The sequence below is a fragment of the Homo sapiens genome, chromosome 14, assembly GCF_000001405.40.
Source record: "Homo sapiens chromosome 14, GRCh38.p14 Primary Assembly".
In the NCBI taxonomy this organism is placed as follows: Eukaryota; Metazoa; Chordata; class Mammalia; order Primates; family Hominidae; genus Homo; species Homo sapiens.
This window is the reverse complement of record NC_000014.9, coordinates 60,235,097-60,253,780: the sequence shown is the minus strand read 5'-3', so window position 1 is coordinate 60,253,780 and position 18,684 is coordinate 60,235,097. Positions and strand designations below refer to the sequence as shown.

Genomic DNA, 18,684 nt, shown 5'->3' with positions numbered 1-18,684 from the left:
AACCACTTGAGAATTAACATGGATTCCATTCCTTAACCTAAACAATGGTACTTGAAGACATAAAATGTTTAGCTTTGTTAACTTCTGAAACTTTGGGAATGAGAAAATGAACTTAATTTCTTAAATCTTTTCTGAATGTTTTAGAAGAAAACATTAGTCTTGCATTGGAAGACTTTACATAAACTAACATGGACTTGCTTAACTCTAGGAATCTATGAATCGTAAGTGTTAATGTTTAGCTTTTGAAATTTTGGTTCCTGGTAATAAGGAGGTTCATCTAATTGGGAAAAATCCACTCAGTAATATCTTGAAAAATACTTTTATATCTACCCAGATCTGATCCTGGCACGTTATTTAGGTTCTCTGACCCTGTATTTCCTTATTTATAAAATGAAGATAACATCACATATTTTAGAGGGTTATGGCAAAAAATTAAAGCCTAACACAAATAAATGGCCAAGAAAGTACGGCTTTCATGACGTTCTTCTGTATCTAGAAGTAGTTTAGTCTCAAAAGATCTTAATTCTAAATCGTATCAGCCACAGAAACTAATCACTTTTAATCCAGATCTTAAATATGGATACTACATACACTTGGTCAATGGATTCCAAATAAACATATTAAGAATTATAAAAACTCAAGATCCCCCCTTTATCACATATTTACTCAAGGAAGCTTAAAACATCTCTAATATTATAAAAACTGTATAAGAGTCTAGTTTACTGATACACATTAAAAGCCTGTACCTTTCCTCAGTTCCTTACAAAAATTATAAAGTCTATTACATTTTAGATACAGGTATACAGAAACTTGCCTCTCTCAATTGCTTACTTTCTCTAGCTCTGACCTGCCTCAGCAAAAGAAAAGCCTGGTAACGAGATTATCTAGGTAGTACATGGATAGCCAGGACATTCAAAGGTCAAAATCATCAAAGAATATATTCTGGAGACTCAGAATGAAGTATAAAATTGTTACGTAATATGGAGAACATAAGACATTTGAAAGAGTGAAGGGTAAAGAATATAATCAATCTTTTGATTTTGATATAGGTTAACCCAAGTTTATTTCATATACAAATGGCTAATAATCCCAGGTCAGTTAATTTATATATCTTGGCTAATAGCAAAATAACAAACACAACTTAATTTTAAAATTTGTTATTTGAGATGGAAGACAGGACATATTGTGACATAAAATTACTTAGAGGAAGACACAACTTTTACCCAGTTGCCTCACTATACCTTCTCCTCTTCTCCAAGGTTTATATATTTCACAGGGCCATGTGTTGTTTTATCTTCTTGCTTAACTCTTATAAAACCCTGCCGTGGCCAATTTTCTTACATGGCCATCTCTTTCTCCTGATTTGATTAAGGATGGAAAGTATTCAAGAGTATACTGACTCAGAGTCAGGTGCCCAGGCAAGAGTTAGATAATCATTTGAGAGGATCATCAAAATATCACCTTGTTATATTATTTCTACATGAGCATAGATTTACATCTTAAAAAATTAATCCAGCTCTCATGGGTGAGTATTTCAGAGATAACAAGTTCCTTGTGGACATATGCCACTTCTTGGTTAAAAATTACAAATATGCACGCACAGTTAAACCAAAATCAGCTGTACATTCTATTAGCTATTAGAGTAAACAAATGGCCTAGATGTAATCTGAACAAACTAAAAGACTATAGGTATTTAGTGACTGCTCAGCAATATTTACCACATGACAAAATGATGTTGCTATAGATTTCTTTCAAAAACAAATGAGGTATTAGAGAATTTTCAAAGGTTTAACAAGACCCAGCTTGAAGTGACAGAAAAAACCTTCATAATGTGTTTTTATAATGTCCTTCACATCAGACTACCAAGGGTCCTGTGCTTGTTCAAACCTGTAGTCTCAACCACCCTTTGTCTCCCATGAAATCTCCATCCTCCTTCCTCTCAAGAGTTTCCCTACACATCCCAATCCCAAAAGAAAAATCAATAGCTTACAAGAACACAAGAACAGCTTTTCTAAAGAACCATCACCAACTTAGAATTTGTTAAATAAAACAGAACCGAGAAAGAAATCCAGCCTTAGAACACTGAAACATCTAAGTGCCTGACACATAACAGGCATTTATTTGGCAACGGTATGTTGACTAGACACACAATATTGATAAAAAAAAATTTTTAAATGTAGTAACTGGACAGTACATGTGATAATATAATCTGCCCAACTGGCTTTACTGATTTGGAAGCTGAAACTCAAAAGGTTAAAGGACTTGTCCATGGACACAGATATTTTGGAGCACAGCCATGACTAAACAATCCTTGTCTCCTACTGCACTGTTCCCTTCAACAGGTCATATACCTCAGCCCCTCATGTAAAAAGATACAATATGTACACAAAATACATAAAAAGATACAAGCCAAATAAAAAGCAATTTGATGACTATTATTTCTCAAATATAATTGAGGTAGTTAACTTCAAACATTATCAGTCTTAATACACCTTTCCCATAATATAATTACTTCACCGATCTAAAAATGTTTTATGATATCAAATTAAAATGTCTTAGGCAACTGCCATGTGCAGGAAGTTCATTATAGTTTCAATAATGTGGTACTGCTGTAAACTTCCAGGTTAAAAGTAATCATCCTTACATGACTGAAAGTTTAATCAGATACATATAAGTTACACATAACAAGAACAAAACTATAACACTAGGAAATGTTACTTTGTGCTTCAAATTATTTATTGGTAAAGAAAGCATTAAGTCAGTAAAAGCAGCATCTAAGAATAGAGAATCTCCTTATTTTCAATTTTCTCATTTGTAAAATAAGGAGTTACAGAAATACAATCTTTGGAAAAGGCCCAATATGTAGCAAGATAAAAGTATAAAAGTAAAGTGTTTCAAAGAGAGTTGGGGACCAAGCTATGCTAAATTCCCAAGTGCTCTGGAACCCTAAGTCTCAGCAGAGTAGTGTTTCAACAAATCCCTCCACTTTTCGGAGCGCAACACATGTAAAGTGGTTGTGTTTAAAACCCCAACGTGCAAGTTTGAAAAGACTGTTTTACAAAACAATTGTTAAAATGTCTAATTTCTCTCAATAATGTCAAAATCATTTCCTTTGAGAAAATGATACCTATCTCTCATACTCTTCCAACCACTTCTTAAAACACATTCAGCTCATTATTCCAATGAGCAGGAAACTTGCGGGGAGGTGGGGCTAGCACACAGATCCCATGGCTTGGACAACTGAAGCATGACTTTTGTGGATTTGTACCATGTGGTGTTTCAGGAGAGAAGAAAAATACCTCAGGTGATGAAATTTTCAAAACGTATCTAAAACTGCAGTTGGTAGAAGGCTCTCCACAGCCAGCTGTCTTTCAAGAAAAGGCTCCAAGTTTATTTAAAATCTACAAGCAGAACAGAACCATACCTCAACCAAGCTCTAACATCAAGAAGTTTTACCCGATTTACGTAGTTAAAAGGATAAGAAATCGGAATTTACTTCAATGGATTTGTTCGATGCCTTAATAATGAATGAACTAGAGGCATCACTCACTGACTTGAGTTCTGAAGGAGTCTCTCAGCCCTGCCCCCTGTAAAACCTTAAGCAATTTCTACAGAATTAGGTTTTTCGAGGCTAAGCCCGGTTCAAAGGAAGTCTCCCCGCCTCCCTCCCAGGGGCTGAAGCCCAGGACAGCCGGGGCGGCGCGCCCGAGCGGGTGGGGGCGCGGGGACGCCCCCTCCCCGCTCGGGAAAAGTTCTGCAGGCCGCTCTCCGGCCAGGCCGGCCTGCGGCCGTCGCCTGCTTCGCCGCCACAAACACCCATCTCGGCCGCGGACGGCCAGAGGGTCGCGCCCCCTCCCCGCGCCACCGCAACTAACACCCCGCCCCCGCCTCCCCGCCACCGCCCTCGCCGAGCGTTAACCCCTCGCCGTCCGCCGCCCGGCTCGGGGGAGGAGGCCGGCCAGGGGGTGGAGTTGTCGCGTCTCCTCCCGGGAGCGCCCGGGCAGACGCCCGGCTTGTTTACAGGCCCCAGGCCTGCCCGCCGCCGCCGCCGCGCAGGCCCGCACCGCCCGCCAGCCCGCCGTCGGCCCGAGCGCCGCACTTACCCGGAGCAGCCGCAGGCGGGCAGGTCCCTGGTCGGCCGAGGCGGCGGCGGCGGCAGCCGGGGAGGGGGTCACCGCGGCGGCGACGGCGGCAGCCGGGGGAGGGGTCACCGCTGCAGCGGCGGGCCAGGTCAGGCTGGGGAAGGGGCGGAGGAGGGGAGGAGCCGGGCTGCGTCCGGGCCCCCGGCTGTCGGCGCCCTCGCGGCTCAGATCATCCGGGCGTTGGAGAGGGAGGCAGAGAGCGGGTCCCGGAGAAGGAGGAGGAAGAGCCGAGGACTCATCGCTTTCGCGCCTCAGCTGTCTAGAGTCCCCCCACCCCCCCCTCCCCAACCACCCGTTCCGGAGCAACAGCCGCCTGAGGACCCGAAGCTGCGGGCCGGACGAGCGCCGAGACCACTGCTCTCTAGCTCCCGCGCGCGCTCCCGTCCCTAGCGCCGCCACCGCCGCCGCCGCCGCCTCTAGCGCGGCCCCGCGCAGGCGCGCTCACGACCGCGTCGCCCCTCCCCCACCCCTCCGCTCGCCCCGCCCCGCTGGCTCCGCCGCCGCTACAGCTGCGGCGCGGCGCGCAGCTACAGAGACCCGGATGTCGTTGGGCAGGAACTGCGGTGAGGGCTGGCGGGCGGGGGAGGGGCCGCCACAGATGACGTCACTGCCTTACCCAGCTTCTTTCTCTGCCGCTGCTGCTGCCGCCGCCTTTGCCTTACGGCCTGGAGCACCAGGCCGAAGCCGAAGGGAGCGTCCGGATCCCGGATAGCAGCCAGGACCCGGGCCTTCACGTTCCGGCGCCAGGGACTGGACAGAATGTGCGGCTATTAGGTGCCCAGTAGATCGACAGCCCCTCCGTGCCGGCCCTTGGCCAAGTAGGGACTCGGAAGCTACCCCTACGGCGTCCGCGCCCGGAGCCCTGGCTCTTCTACCTGCCTGCAGATACAAACCCCACTCCCTGCGAAGATGGTGTACACGCAGCCCCGAGCACAGACCCGAAGCTGTCCACCCTTCTTGGGCGCCGTCGCGGTCTGGCCGCTGCCCTTCGAACCCATGGTGGGTCCCAGGCAGCTGCCAGACCCCCCTACCCCAGAGTCCCACTCCTCCAGAGCCTTCCTCTCCCAGTGACCCCAGGAAGCCCAAGCAGGTGCCACGGCCACACACCTCGCGACCCAAAGGGCAGAGACACAAGCACGCTACCACCGCCCACCAATGTGCGAGTGCAACTGATTCACGCACGGGGCACATGCTCTGAGTTTCTGGCAGGTTTTCCCTCTATAGTTCAGGGGATTCCACATTGTATTTATTTGCACATGTTAGATAATCACGTGGTTCTGTCCCAGGGGACCTCCAACGACCTCCAATGAGGTAGGTTAAGGGAACAGGATTTTTCAAAATCAGGAGAATAATCAGAAACATAACAGCTGCTTCTATTAAGAGGTAGAGATGAGCTAAAGTTAATAGAAACTGCACGTGCCAGCGGCCAAAATCCAGTTTAGCTAGCTGGAAAACCCGACCCACGCTGCTTGCAGACGCCGGGGATAGAATGACAAACCCTAGGCAGCCAATGAATCGCAGCCTAGGAGCAGTACATCACCAGCACGGGTTCCCATTGGCTGGGGTGCCCTTCCCTCTCTTGTCAGCGGCTTAACCAGTTCACGAATTTGACCTACACCACATTCGCAGGAAAAGAAGTTAGAAGAAAAGTCCGTATTTTTAAAAGATGTTCTGATGCACACACAAACCAAAGACTTCATTGTAGAAGGCAGGTTCTTTTACTGGCCAAATTGAGTTCTGGCCAGTAAAAAAGGTAAATTTATGTTGAAGGCCTCTCTATTTTACTTGAGGAGCTCACTATAGCAATTTGCACCCTACTACTTTCTATCTCCTAAACCATTTTGTTGCCCCAACTCTTAGATCAAAAGCAACCTATTTATTCTTTCTGGCATTCAGCAAATATTTAGCTGCTGCTTTTAAAGTTGTAAAAAGCCATCTCTAATTTTCTCAACATGACTTTGGGGAAGGTTCTGTTTCCTTCACTTTTTTTTTTTTTTTTTTTTTTTTTTTTGAGACAGAGTCTCGCTCTTTCATCCAGGCTAGTACAGTGGCACAATCTCGGCTCACTGCAAGCTCCGCCTCCCGGGTTCATGCCATTCTCCTGCCTCAGCCTCCCGAGTAGCTGGGACTACAGGCGCCTGCCACCACGCCTGGCTAATTTTTTTGTATTTTTAGTTCAGACAGGGTTTCACCGTGTTGGCCAGGATGGTCTCGGTTTCCTGACCTCGTGATCCACCCTCCTCGGCCTCCCAAAGTGCTGGGATTACAGTCGTGAGCCACTGTTCCCGGCCAGAATTCCTTAGAAGATGATCGTGGATCATTTCCACATATACAAAATAAAAATAAAATTCACTATGCATTTGGTCTCAGTATCATCTGAGGATACATTTCCTAATTCTCCACATATCTCCCCGACCCCCCAAAAAAAGAAATTAGATCAGAGATCTTTGAAACGCTACCTTCTTGGAATCCTTAATACTCCAGGCAAGTAACAGCATGAGTAGCATGCTGGTGGACTCATTAACATTCTGAACTACAAAAGCTCATATGGCAACCATTTAGAGTGCTCTTAAAAGACAAATTTTCTTATTTATAAGCAGAAGCTGGGTCACTAGTGACGGTAGTGGACCATAGAAAACTTGAAATGCCTGCCTATCTTTCTGCTTCCTTCCTTTAGGCTTCCACACCTTTCTTCTCTCTGTTCTGCACTTGGAGAATCTGGGTCAATTGTAGAAGAAGAGGGAGAGAAATAGAAAATATGAACAGAAAGAAATTTTTAAGGAGTCTACGCATTGTACAGACTGCCGATAAAGCAGCACCTTCCTACTATTTATTTCTGAATACAGCTTGCAGGGACATTTTGGTATGAACTAGGAAACTCATGGGTTATAAGATTAATATTTTAAAAAGATATCAATATTGTCTGATTAAATATGTTTAATATCATCATATCCCCTTTTATTAAACCTTATGCTAAGAAGGGGGGACAGATAGAAGGGGAAAATAACATTGAAAAAAGAGGATTGAAAGTTCTCTTCTGAACTGTAAGACTTTGCCGGGCCTCTACACATATTTGGGATGTTCACAGTAAGATTTTAGTGGGAATATATTGCCATGATGATGACATTTTAGTAATTTTTATAGGTATATTATAAAACTATCCTGCTCTGCTTTGGAAATCTGTTTATATTTCAATTAACAAAGAAAAAGATTATCTACAAGATTGGCTTTAAAGTCCTGAATTTAGTGTGTGTTGATAGCCTAGTAATTGGGAGGCTTGGGGTGAGGACAGGGGCTGTAGTGTGGAGTCTAAAGCTTAATCTGATCAGCAATACTCTCTTTCCCTTTCCACCACAATTGTGACTTAAAAAAAGGTTTACATTCCTGCTCCCAAATTACTCTCCAGGAGAGTCACCCTTGAGGCAGACTTGCCTGGGCCTCTCAAAATATATGCAGTAATGTAAATGACCCCCTCAGGAGGCTAGTATTTGAGAATACCCCTCACCATCCTTTTCCACTGAAGCCAGTCACTACTCAAGAGTTAGAAAGCCAACCAGAACATAGGTTCAACAATTCCTTCCTCCCTCACTACCTGTTTCATATTTTTTTCTCTCACACATCCTCTTCATTTGGTTTCCTCTTTTCTCATTTCTCCTTCTCTCTCCTCCCTTTTTCTTCTCTTCTCTTTTTGCCTTCTTTGCCCTTCTCTTCCCCATTCTTCTTTTCTCTCTTTTCATTAGCTTAGTACAAATTGTAGCTTCTGCTACCCATTTTCTCCCAGAACAGAACATGCGAGCAGACAGTGCCCCTAAATGAATTTCATTCAGGGAGAGGGTGTGCCCCCTACCCTGGCCCTCCTTCCTCCCTCCCCTACATCATAATACATTATGAGAAACTTAGCTGCTTAGAGGACTGTTACAGAATCAAAAGGATTAGAGAATCCTGTCCTGTGTGACATCACTGGGCAGCCCCATTAGGGAGGGGCAGAGGGGAGCAGCCAGCAGTCTTATGCTACCACTGTGGCTCATCCTGCGACCTGAGAGAAACCTGGGCAACTGTGAGCACCAGAGGCCAAGTCCTGGACAGTCTTTAGGGTAGGCTTTCACCTCAAGATAGCCATATATGGCCACAGCCTTACAATACTAGAGTGGATCTTGTCAGATAAGTTCATCTGTTCATGAGATAGCTATTGTGCACCAAGCACTGTGTGGGACACTGGAGGTAGATAATGACATCAATGGGCAAGCCCTGCCCACAAAGAGCCAACATAATAATAAGAGGCATAGACAAATAAGTCAGCAGATAGAAAGGAAATTGCATACTGTTATCCATGCTGTGAAGAAAATAAATAAGGAAACAGATCCGGGAGACGACTTGAAACAGGTGTTCAGTGCAGACCTCTCTAAGAAGGCAGCATTTGATCTAAAGGATGAGAAGGAGTCAGCTTCATAATCAGGGGAGAACTTTCCAGGTAGAGGGGTCAGCATGGGCAAAGGGCCTGATGTGGAAAAGAGCTTGGCAGAAAAGAGTTTCTTACAGCCCAAAGACAAGTTCAGCAAACTCAAGGCAAATAGTTTATGGTCATTTAAGTTTCGAGAGTGTTTCAACGTGGACATTAGGGATATTTAATTTATAATCAGGAAACTACATTATGTGCACGGGTATAATCCATAGAAAATAACTTGGTGAGTTGGTCTGGTGCAAAAAGCAAAGCAACTTTTTTAAAAATTGAAATTAAAAATAGTCTGGGTGCAGTGGCTCACACCTGTAATCCCAGCACTTTGGAAGGCCAAAGCGAGTGGATCACTTGAGGCCAGGAGTTCAAGACCAGCCTGGCCAACATGGGGAAACCCCGTCTCTACTGAAAATACAAAATTAGCCACACCTGGTGGCACACGCCTGTAATCCCAGCTACTTGGGAAGCTGAGGCAGGAGAATCGCAGGCAGGAGAATCACTGGAACTCAGGAGGTGGAGGTTGCAGTGGGCCGAGATCATGCCCCTGCACCCTAGCCTGCATGACAGAAAAAAAAACACCTTTATTCAACTATTGAAATTGAGAAGTATTCCATAACTCCAGGAAAGACCCGTCAGACAATCCAGCAGCAGCTAGAAAAGAGTGAATTATAAGCTTCAAATAAATAGTTTTCATCCCAATATAGGTACCTATTTGTGCTAAGTAAAGACTAGCACAGATTTGAGTGGGCTTCTTCAGAACAATTCTTCTGGGTGTTTACTGTCTATCCTGGGCATTACAGAAGATCTCAAACTAAACCATACTTTTGAAAGCAGCGACACACTGCATCCTTAACAATGGTGGCCTGGTTGAAAACAGTAATGAAATTGTCATCATCATAAAGCCTTTTATCTGAACCTGACTCTGCAGTTTACAAAGCACTATCATACAGACTAACCAGTTTAATCCTCTCAAAAACCCTTGCAGGTAGACAGGGCAAGGACTCTTAATCTCCTCCTTTATAGAAGAGAAAACTAAGCATCTGGTAGTAACTACCCAGGGTCACAGAAATTAATGACGGGTACCCAGGTTTGTCCCCCGTACGATACTGAGCATCATTGCTTTTACATGCTGGTAGTAAAGGCAGCAGGAGTGGAAAGAGTGCTGAACTTAGTTCCAGTCCGTGGTGTGGAGAGCTGGCCTATACTGGCTCATGACAGCAGATTATTAAATTTTCAGAAATTTTGCCTGCTGTTTGTTAAATACTCATTATTAAAAATTAAATGATATAGGCTGGGTGCAGTGTCTCATGCCTATATTCCCAGCACTTTGGGAGGCTGAGGTGGGTGGATCACCTGAGATCAGGAGTTTGAGATCAGCCTGGCCAACATGGTGAAACCCCGTCTCTACTAAAAATACAAAAATTAGCCAGGTGTGGTGTCGGGAGCCTGTAATCCTAGCTACTTGGGAGGCTGAGGCAGGAGAATTGCTTGAACCCAGGAGGCAGAGGTTGCAGTGAGCTGAGATTGCGCCATTGCACTCCAGCCTGGGTGACAAGGTGAGACTCCATCTCAAAAATCAATCAATAAATAAATATAAAAATAGAAATAAAAATTAAGTTAGATAAACTTCCAATGAAATAAATTTTAAACAAAGGTAGTATGTGATAAAAACATCACTTCCAAATTATGTTAATACATTTTAATATTGTCTTTGTTCTTTAGGCAATTTACATGCATTGTGTCTGCATGGTGGAAATTCCCTATATGTAATTGTACATCTCTTCCCAATACCACATTTAGTGAGTTTTCTTTGGTAGCTTGATCAGCGGACACCACAGATGAGGGCTTCACTTATTGCTTTGCTGGTTGTGGGCTAGACCAGGGTTGTCCAATCTTTTGCTTCCCTCGGCCACATTGGCAGAAGAAAAATAGTCTTGGGCCACACATAAAATACGCTAACACTAATGATAGCTGATGAGCTAATACAAAACAAAACGAAACAAAATCACACACACACACAAAATCTCACATTTTAAGAAAGTTTACGAATTTGTGTTGGGCTGCATTCAAAGCCATCCTGGGCTGTATGCGGCCCACAGGCCCAGGGTTGGACAAGCTTGGTCTAGGCTTAAGTGACAGAGAAAATGTTTTATGCAGATTAAATGTAAAAGACATGTCGTGTCTATAACTGTTACATGGTGAATAGCATAAAAACATTCAATTTAGCAATGAAGTCACATCATTGACTAATAAGCTCTAACATACATTTTTGTTGTTTTATTTTTATCTTAAATGAAAATATTAACCAATAGCCATGTTGGAACTACATTTGGAAAGGTGGTTGTTAAACATTTCCCAGCACACACCTGGATCTGCATCTGCTGTGTCAATTGAACCACTCACTGGTTCTGTGACCTCAGGCAAGTCATTTAAATTATAAGCCTTGGTTTTATCCTCCACAGAATACTTCCTCCTAAAATGTGTTGTGAAAATTAGAATAGATGAAGGCACCCTTGAAAAGATGACTGATGCGGTTGGTTGCCCCACCACTTCCTACTACTTGGCAGAGCCTCCTCGTTGGCAGATCCTTCTCTCACTAGAGCATGTATATGGATGCATGCTCTCTCACCCTCCCTTGTAGCTTAGAGCAGAGCATACCAATCTATGTGCCAGCATACCCTGGTATGTCTCAGATGGGTCATAGATGTGATAAGGTATGGATCCCTTAAGCCCTTGGGACATTCAAGTGAGGCTGAGCTGCTGAAGCCCTGGGATGGTATGACTGGCCACAAGCAACATTACCCAGGTACCCCTCTGTGTCACAAAAACGTTATCTTTGTATTTGTGTCATGGTGTGAAAAAATTGAGAAGCACTGCCTGGGGACATAGTGAGGTAGCCCAATTCTGGATAAAGGAAATTGAGAAGTCTTGAGGGGGTAGAGAGGTTTTCTTCCCTAATAAGAAGAATCACAGGAGAGAAAATGCCTTCCTCAGCCATATGTTGTTATTTCTATATGTGAGCCTGGAATTTCAAGGTTATCTTGCAAAGAACCAAGGCAATGTAGAGAAAAGAATTGATAGCAAGTGGCTGGATCTTTCACATTGTAAAGCCATTGAGCCATCCGTGCAATTGCCCACCTTGGGAATTTATTTTTAAGAGTGATAATAAATGCTCCTCATTGTTTAAACTACTTTGATTTTTGTATTTGGTTATTCATAATTAAAAACACCCAAATACAGTAGAAGAACTGGTACATCCCTGACACCTAATGAGTGCTCAATATGGTTAGTTAATCACCAAATTAGATCCTTTGCCTTTAGAAAAGCTGCCATGGTCAAATGTGTGTTGATCTTATTTTTCGTAAATATTTAAGAAATTTGTTCAGTAACTAGCTTAACTTTTAATATTTATCTTGAGTCTCTTCTAAATATGTTTTTACTGTATAATAAAAGCAATAATTGAAAAATGACATCATTTTAAGCTTGAGAGCAACTAGATACAAAGATGTTGATATGCATTTTCTCTTCTTGAAGGATCTAGACAAACTGGAGCACCATTACATGAAAAAGGTTAAAGAATCAATGTTTTGCAAAATAGAACTGGAATTAATTCATGGGAATTACAGAGAAGATCATATTAGTTCAATATAAAAAGAGGGCCTAGAATGTGCCAAGCTCCATACAATGCCCCTCATGAGTGTTATTTAATTCTCACAACAACTTTGCAAAAAAGAAACTATTTTTTTTTCCATTTTACAAAGGAGGAAGCTAAGGCTGTGAAAAAGAGCTCTTTTGCAAGCCTAGGACCTGATTCCAAAATTCCCACTCTTTCTGTTGCAAATTCTGGCTAAGCTTTCCAGAGATGACTTGCTTTCCCCTTGAGGCCCTTTCAGTGCATTGTGCCATGGAAAACAAAAAGCCCAACAATGACATCTTTACCAAAGATGCCTTGGGGAGATGGGAGAAGAGTTACAATGCACATTACACAGCAAAATCTTTTTTAAGCTCCAAGTAAAATTGGTTTTTTCTTAGAGTTTTGCTTCCAGCAGTCACTTCCTCCATTCTCCTGCTCTCTCCACGTGAGGAAAACTTCTATCCTGCCTTCTCCTAATACACTTTCCTGTTTTTTTTTTCCTGCACATTTCTTAAAAATCCCACATAAGGCAAAAGCCAAGACAATATCCATCAACACCTCCACCCCCACCGCATGTCCATGGAGAGCTTCAAGTCATCCTGCCGCTGGTACAAACACGGCAGAGGCCTCTTTGTAAAGAAGTGGTAGGTAGAATTCAGGTTAGCACCAGAATCTGAAAACTCCAGCTCCTTTGACTGGGACCAGGCTGGTAATATAAATGTTAGATCAGGCTGGGTCTGACACAATGGGGATCAGTAGAGCATACTTGTCACATTTGAAGGCATTCAGAAAAATAATAACCTTAAAACATTCTAAACATGTTGCAATCAAAGAGGATACCCCTTGACCACTGCACGAATTGGAGTTCAAAGATCATCTCTCTTTTGCCTAGGCTGTAGACTAGTTATTTAACCTCTCTCAGACTTGGTTTCCTCTTCTGGAACAGGGTATATCAACTACCTTGCAGAAATAAATGACATCCTGTACACAATGCACCTACCACGTTGCCTGACCCAATAATGTGTACATACATAAGAAAATGTTCATGCCCTTTGCTCACTTTAAAATTTTTTTTTCTTGTATATTTGTTTAAGTTCTTCGTAGACTCTGGAATGGAGCTGGAAGCTGTCATCCTCAGCACACTAACGCAGGAACAGAAAACCAAGCACTGCATGTTCCCACTTATAAGTGAGAGCTGAACGAGCAGAACACATGGACATATGAAGGGGAACAACACACTCTGGGGCCTGTGAGGTGCAGGGAGAGCATCAAGAAGAACAGCTAATGGGTGCTGGGCTTAATACCTGGGTGATGGGTTGATCTGTGCGGCAAACCACCATGGCACACATTTACCTATGTAACAAACCTTGACATCCTGCACATGTACCCCGGAACTTAAAAATAAAAGTTGACAAAAAGAAAACATAACTTACTTTTAAGCACATAGTGTGTGTGTGTGTATATATATATGTATATATGTATATATAAGTATATATGTATATATGTATATATAAGTATATATGTATATATGTATATGTGTATATACATGTATATATATGTATACATATATGTGTGTATATATATATATATATTTAGATGGAGTCTCCCTCTGTCACCAGGCTGGAGTGCAGTGGCACGATTTCGGCTCACTGCAACCTCCACCTCTCGGGTTCAAGCGATTCTCCTGCCTCAGCCTCCCCAGTAGCTGGGATTACAGGCGCCCACCACCACGCCCCGGCTACTTTTTGTATTTTTTGTAGTAGAGACGGGGTTTCACTATGTTGGCCAGGATGGTCTCAATCTCCTGACCTCCACCCGCCTTGGCCTCCCAAAATGTTGGGATTACAGACGTGAGCCACTGCACCTGGCCCATGTATTTTTAATAATACATTGTAAATGATTTGACATTATCCATCCCATATTTTATATGGGCTTAGTTATAGATTCACTCTAGAATTGCTGGTTATAGGGCAAAAATCATTCTTTTCAAGACTTGTTTTAACTTCTAGTCCTTCAGCTTTGTGAATGGAACATGTACGTATGACCTACAAGGGATCAAGGGAAGACAAGGATCCTCTGCTGGAAAGATCTGCCTCCCTTACCATTGCTGGACCCCTTTTGTGTGAGTTTTCTCCTTCATGCCATCTGTACCAAAGGTGACCATTTGGTTCTGAATCCAAACTCTAGATTGTTCTTCTTATAGTGCTTCAAAAGAAAGACTGCAAGCCCTATTTCTATATTTTATATAGTATTTGTAATTTTATGTTATAGAACTTGAGTCACCATGTATTTCATTCATTCAGTAGATGTTGAGCCTCCGGAATATGCCAGGCACAGCTGTAGATGAGGGAGATACTGTGAAGAGAGGCAGCGTTCATGGTGTTTACCCGAGGTCAACAGAAAACAAACAAGGTCAATGCAGAGAGGGATAAGTACTGTAAAGAATGCAGAGCAGAGTATGACATGGGCAGGCAAGGTGACAGAGGGGCTGAAGGAGAGGTTACTTTAGATGCTCAGGGAAATCCTATGAGAGAAGGTGGCACCTGGGCAGACCTGACTGACAGGAAGAAGCCACCTTAGAAGATCTGGGGGAAGAATGTCCCAGGAAAGGGCAGAAGCCCTGGGGTGGAAGCGAGCTGGGCATGTCCATGGAAGACAATTCTGAGATGTCTCGGCATGCTGAGGGAAGGAGAGTATGATATAGGCAGGGTGCCTATAGGCCACAGTAAGGATTTTTAAGAATTTTATTCTAAGTGTGATGGAAAACCACTGGCGGTTTTTATGCAGAGTAATGACACGATCCGATCTATGTATTGCTCTTGCTGCACTTTAGAGAAGAGATTTTAGGAAAGCAAAAGTGGAGGCAGAAAAATCCTTTCATGTCAGTTTAATATATCCTTAAAGAGAAGGTGAAATTTGCTTTCAGCTTTAAATGACACAGAGAGATTACATTCTGGTGGTAGGAATGTGGTCTTTTACAGAGCTTTTGTTACCGGGGTTCATGTTTCCATTTTCTGGAAACTATTAATATATATGGATATTTTTGCCAGTAACTCAAGTAACCTTGCTTGGTAAATTTCATAAAATGTTGCAAGAAGTATCTTGTGGGAAGGCCAGGTTAAGTGTAGGTAAAATAAAAGCTCACTTAAGTGGTTCGATTTCAGGTCAATACTTGTTACCCCCAAAATAGTCTACAAGAACCTCTCAGTACTCTCCCAAACACATCTGAAGTCTGAAGACTAATATTCTATAAATTAATTTATGCCTTGTGCTATCCAGTGAGGATGATAATTAAGGTGGCTTTACCTAAGGCAGTTATTTTCATCTTGATATGAAAGTCTCAAGATCCTTTGCAGAGACAAGTTTTAATACTTGGGAAGCAAGCTGCTTTGACATGTATTGATGAGATAGGGTAAAATAAATTAAGAAAGGATTTAGTAAAGACCTCAATAATGCCAAGGATGAATTCAACTTCTTACATACTGTATTCAGATTTGTTCTTGCTCATGGACCTATGAAACAAATACATACACTTCATATGTTGAGTCTTTGTTGCTATTAGATCTTTTTTTTTTTTTTTTTGAGATGGAATCTTGCTGTTGTCAGCCTGGGCTGGAGTGGAATGGCATGATCTTGGCTCACTGCCACCTCTGCCTCCTGGGTTCCAGCGATTCTCCTGCTTCAGCCTCCAGAGTAGCTGAGATTATAGGCGCCCACCACCACGCCCTGCTAATTTTTTTGTATTTTTAGTAGAGACGTGGTTTCACCGTGTAGGCCATGCTGGCCTCGAACTCCTGACGTCAGGTGATCCACCCGCCTTGGTCTCCCAAAGTAGTGGGATTACAGGCATGAGCCACTGCTCCCAGCCTAGATTTTCTTTATTTCATTTAATGGTCTTAGTCTGGGTTCTCTAGAGGGACAGAACTAATGGAATAGATATACACATAAAGGGGAGTTTATTAAGTATTAACTCACATGATCACAAAGTCTCACAATAGGCCATCTGCAGGCTGAGGAGCAAGGAGAGCCAGTATGAGTTTCAAAACTGAAGAACTTGGAGTCTGATGTTTAAGGGCAGAAAGGATCCAGCATGGGAGAAAGATGTAGACTGGGAAGCTAGTTCAGTCTCTCTTTTCACATTTTTCTCCCTGCTTATATTCTAGCTGTGTTGGCAGCTGATGAGATTGTGCCCACCCAGATTAAGGATGGGTCTGCCTTTCACAGCCCACTGACTCAAATGTTAATCTCCTTTGGCAACACCCTCACAGACACACCCAGGATCAATACTTTGTATCCTTCAATCCAATCAAGTTGACAGTATTAACCATCACAGTCTATATTGGTCATCTTCAAGGTAAACCCAGAATAGCCCTTTGGAAAAGAACTATAACTAATTTTATTTTTAATTTTATAACTAGTACATTTTAGCCACCTAATAAATATTTCATAATAAAAGTTATTATGGCCATTATATTATAGCTGCAGGATCTGTAGACTCTATATGAATGAACCAAAACAGCAACTTTCATGACACTGTCAAATTCAGCCTATGCATTAGATGGTGTAAATCATAAGCCACCAGAAAGAATAATCCATCAAACCAAGTATTGGTTAAGAATCTACTATGTGTCAGCGGGCGTGGTGGCTCATGCTTGTAATCCCAGCACTTTGGGAGGCTGAGGCAGGTGGATCACTTGAAGTAAGGAGTTCGAGACCAGCCTGGCCAACATGGTGAAACCCCATCTCTACTAAAAAAAAAAAAAAATACAAAAATTAGTCGGGTATGGTGATGGGCACCTGTAATCCCAGATACCTGGGAGGCTGACGCAGGAGAATCGCTTGAATCCAGGAGGTGGAGGTTGCAGTGAGCTGAGATCATGCCAGTGCACTCCAGCCTAGGCCACAGAGCAAGACTCCATCTCGAAAGAAAAATAAAAAAGAATCTACTCTGTGTCAAACATCATCAAACGTAGATGGGAATGTAAAAAATAGACAGTAGTCCCCCCTTTATCTGCAGGGATCTGTTCCAAGACCCTCAGTGGATGTTTGAAACTGTGGATAGTACTGAACCCTCTATGAACTATGTTTTTACCTATATATACATACCTATGACAAAGTTTAATTTACAAATTAGGCATAGTAAGAGATTAACAACAATAACATGATAAAGTCAAACATTTATAACAACATCCTGTAATAAACGTTATATGAATTTGGTCTCTCTCTCTCCCTGTCTCTCAAAATATCATATTGTACTGTACTCACCCTTCTCTTGTGATGATGTGAGATGATAAAATGCCTACATGAGAAGATGAAGTGAGGTGAATAACACAGCATTAGGCTACTATTGACCTTCTCATGATGCATTAGAAGGAGGATCATCTGTTTTGGGTGATTCTAGATCATCAAGCTATGACAATGTCAATGGTTGAATATCAGGAGCCGATGATGTCTGGAACTTTCTATTTAATATTTTTGTACCACAGTTGACCATAAGTAACAGAAACTATGGAAAATGAAACTTCAAAGTGGGGGACTACTATATTGCAAACTATTTACCAGGCTCTTATATATATCATATAAATGCTTTTATAAATATCTGTTGCAAATAATTTGTTGTTCAAATGATACTTATGACAATTCTAGGTTCTTAAAAGAAATAATAAAATATATGCATCCAAACTTTTAAAGAACTGTATGTATGTTTCTTGGGGGACATAAAAGTACTGACCTTTGTCCAAGTAGGCAAGATACACAAAACTCTTTTGTGTTGTCAATCACAATAAAAGCATGGAAAGGTTAAAGGGAACAATGTGAGTACTTGAAACATGCGATGCCAAAAGAAAAATCTTGGCTTGATATAAAATACCAGTGACTTATATGGCCTGGTGAGTCATGTGTATCATATCTGGGTTATGTAGCCATAAATATTGGCTTAAAGGCAGTCAGACTATTTAGACTGTCATCACTAAAATCATCATCACATGTCGGTTCTGCCTAAATTGAAAAGCAAAAACTGAAATACAGTAATACATTGAATTGACAACATATAAAATTTCTGCTGTCCTACACTTAAATTCCCAAAGGCAATGTTACAAGAGGGTGTTTAAAAGCCCATGAAGTACTCCTTGTAATTCTATCTCATTTGGATATATCTTTCTTGGTTATTTAATGTTAGTTGGAAGCCTCTAAGAGCAAGAATTTTCACTGACTTCTCAATAAAATTCTCTAGATGATGTAAATCATAACCCACAACATCTGAAAATAGCCAGGTTAATCAAACACCACATATACAAAGAAAACATAGTGTGTCAAACTCTATTAAACATGGCAAGAAATGTAAATAATAGTTACAATTTATTGACCAATTGCCATTTGCTAGAATCTTTATCAATCCTGACAATATCCCTTCAAGGTAGGTGTCATCACCTATATTTTACAGATGAGAAACA

General features: G+C 42.2%; 1 protein-coding gene and 1 long non-coding RNA gene across 23 annotated transcripts in view, besides 6 other annotated features; one reads left to right on the top strand and one right to left on the bottom strand.

The window, feature by feature from the left end:
- PPM1A (protein phosphatase, Mg2+/Mn2+ dependent 1A) overlaps positions 1 to 8,031 on the bottom strand; it is a 53,338-nt gene extending 45,307 nt beyond the window's left edge. For 12 of the 21 annotated variants that reach the window (XM_047431501.1, XM_017021383.2, XM_047431507.1 and 9 more), the window contains exon 1: positions 4,104 to 4,560. Coding sequence is in view for 1 of the 21 variants with exons in the window: in NM_177952.3 (NP_808821.2) it covers positions 7,735 to 7,933 (199 nt within the window). In the remaining 20 variants the exon portion in view is untranslated. Of the gene's footprint in view, positions 1 to 3,299; positions 3,620 to 4,103; positions 4,561 to 5,249; positions 5,314 to 7,734 lie in introns of those variants that run through there. The other 9 variants (XM_047431505.1, XM_047431508.1, XM_047431511.1 and 6 more) reach the window with 4 other exon arrangements.
- Positions 3,577 to 4,316: a silencer, noted in NCBI's record as "silent region_5810". NCBI's record gives its function as "represses an Ori minimal core promoter by ATAC-STARR-seq in GM12878 lymphoblastoid cells {active_cell/tissue: GM12878}" and the evidence as "EXISTENCE:reporter gene assay evidence [ECO:0000049][PMID:35858748]".
- Positions 4,486 to 5,214: an enhancer, noted in NCBI's record as "NANOG-H3K27ac-H3K4me1 hESC enhancer chr14:60715285-60716013 (GRCh37/hg19 assembly coordinates)". NCBI's record gives its function as "activates a minimal SCP1, AML or CMV promoter by ChIP-STARR-seq in naive H9 embryonic stem cells {active_cell/tissue: H9 hESC(naive)}" and the evidence as "EXISTENCE:reporter gene assay evidence [ECO:0000049][PMID:30033119]".
- Positions 4,517 to 4,616: a silencer, noted in NCBI's record as "silent region_5809". NCBI's record gives its function as "represses an Ori minimal core promoter by ATAC-STARR-seq in GM12878 lymphoblastoid cells {active_cell/tissue: GM12878}" and the evidence as "EXISTENCE:reporter gene assay evidence [ECO:0000049][PMID:35858748]".
- Positions 4,717 to 5,066: an enhancer, noted in NCBI's record as "active region_8475". NCBI's record gives its function as "activates an Ori minimal core promoter by ATAC-STARR-seq in GM12878 lymphoblastoid cells {active_cell/tissue: GM12878}" and the evidence as "EXISTENCE:reporter gene assay evidence [ECO:0000049][PMID:35858748]".
- Positions 5,127 to 5,176: an enhancer, noted in NCBI's record as "active region_8474". NCBI's record gives its function as "activates an Ori minimal core promoter by ATAC-STARR-seq in GM12878 lymphoblastoid cells {active_cell/tissue: GM12878}" and the evidence as "EXISTENCE:reporter gene assay evidence [ECO:0000049][PMID:35858748]".
- Positions 5,757 to 6,006: an enhancer, noted in NCBI's record as "active region_8473". NCBI's record gives its function as "activates an Ori minimal core promoter by ATAC-STARR-seq in GM12878 lymphoblastoid cells {active_cell/tissue: GM12878}" and the evidence as "EXISTENCE:reporter gene assay evidence [ECO:0000049][PMID:35858748]".
- LOC101927702 (uncharacterized) lies at positions 8,145 to 13,655 on the top strand. Of its 2 annotated transcripts, none has more exons than NR_188027.1 (3): positions 8,145 to 8,236; positions 10,911 to 11,018; positions 13,327 to 13,655. It is a non-coding gene; the product is annotated as an uncharacterized LOC101927702 (long non-coding RNA). The 2 variants fall into 2 exon arrangements; NR_188028.1 differs by lacking the exon at positions 8,145 to 8,236 and adding an exon at positions 8,443 to 8,613.
- The last annotated feature ends 5,029 nt before the right edge of the window (positions 13,656 to 18,684 follow it).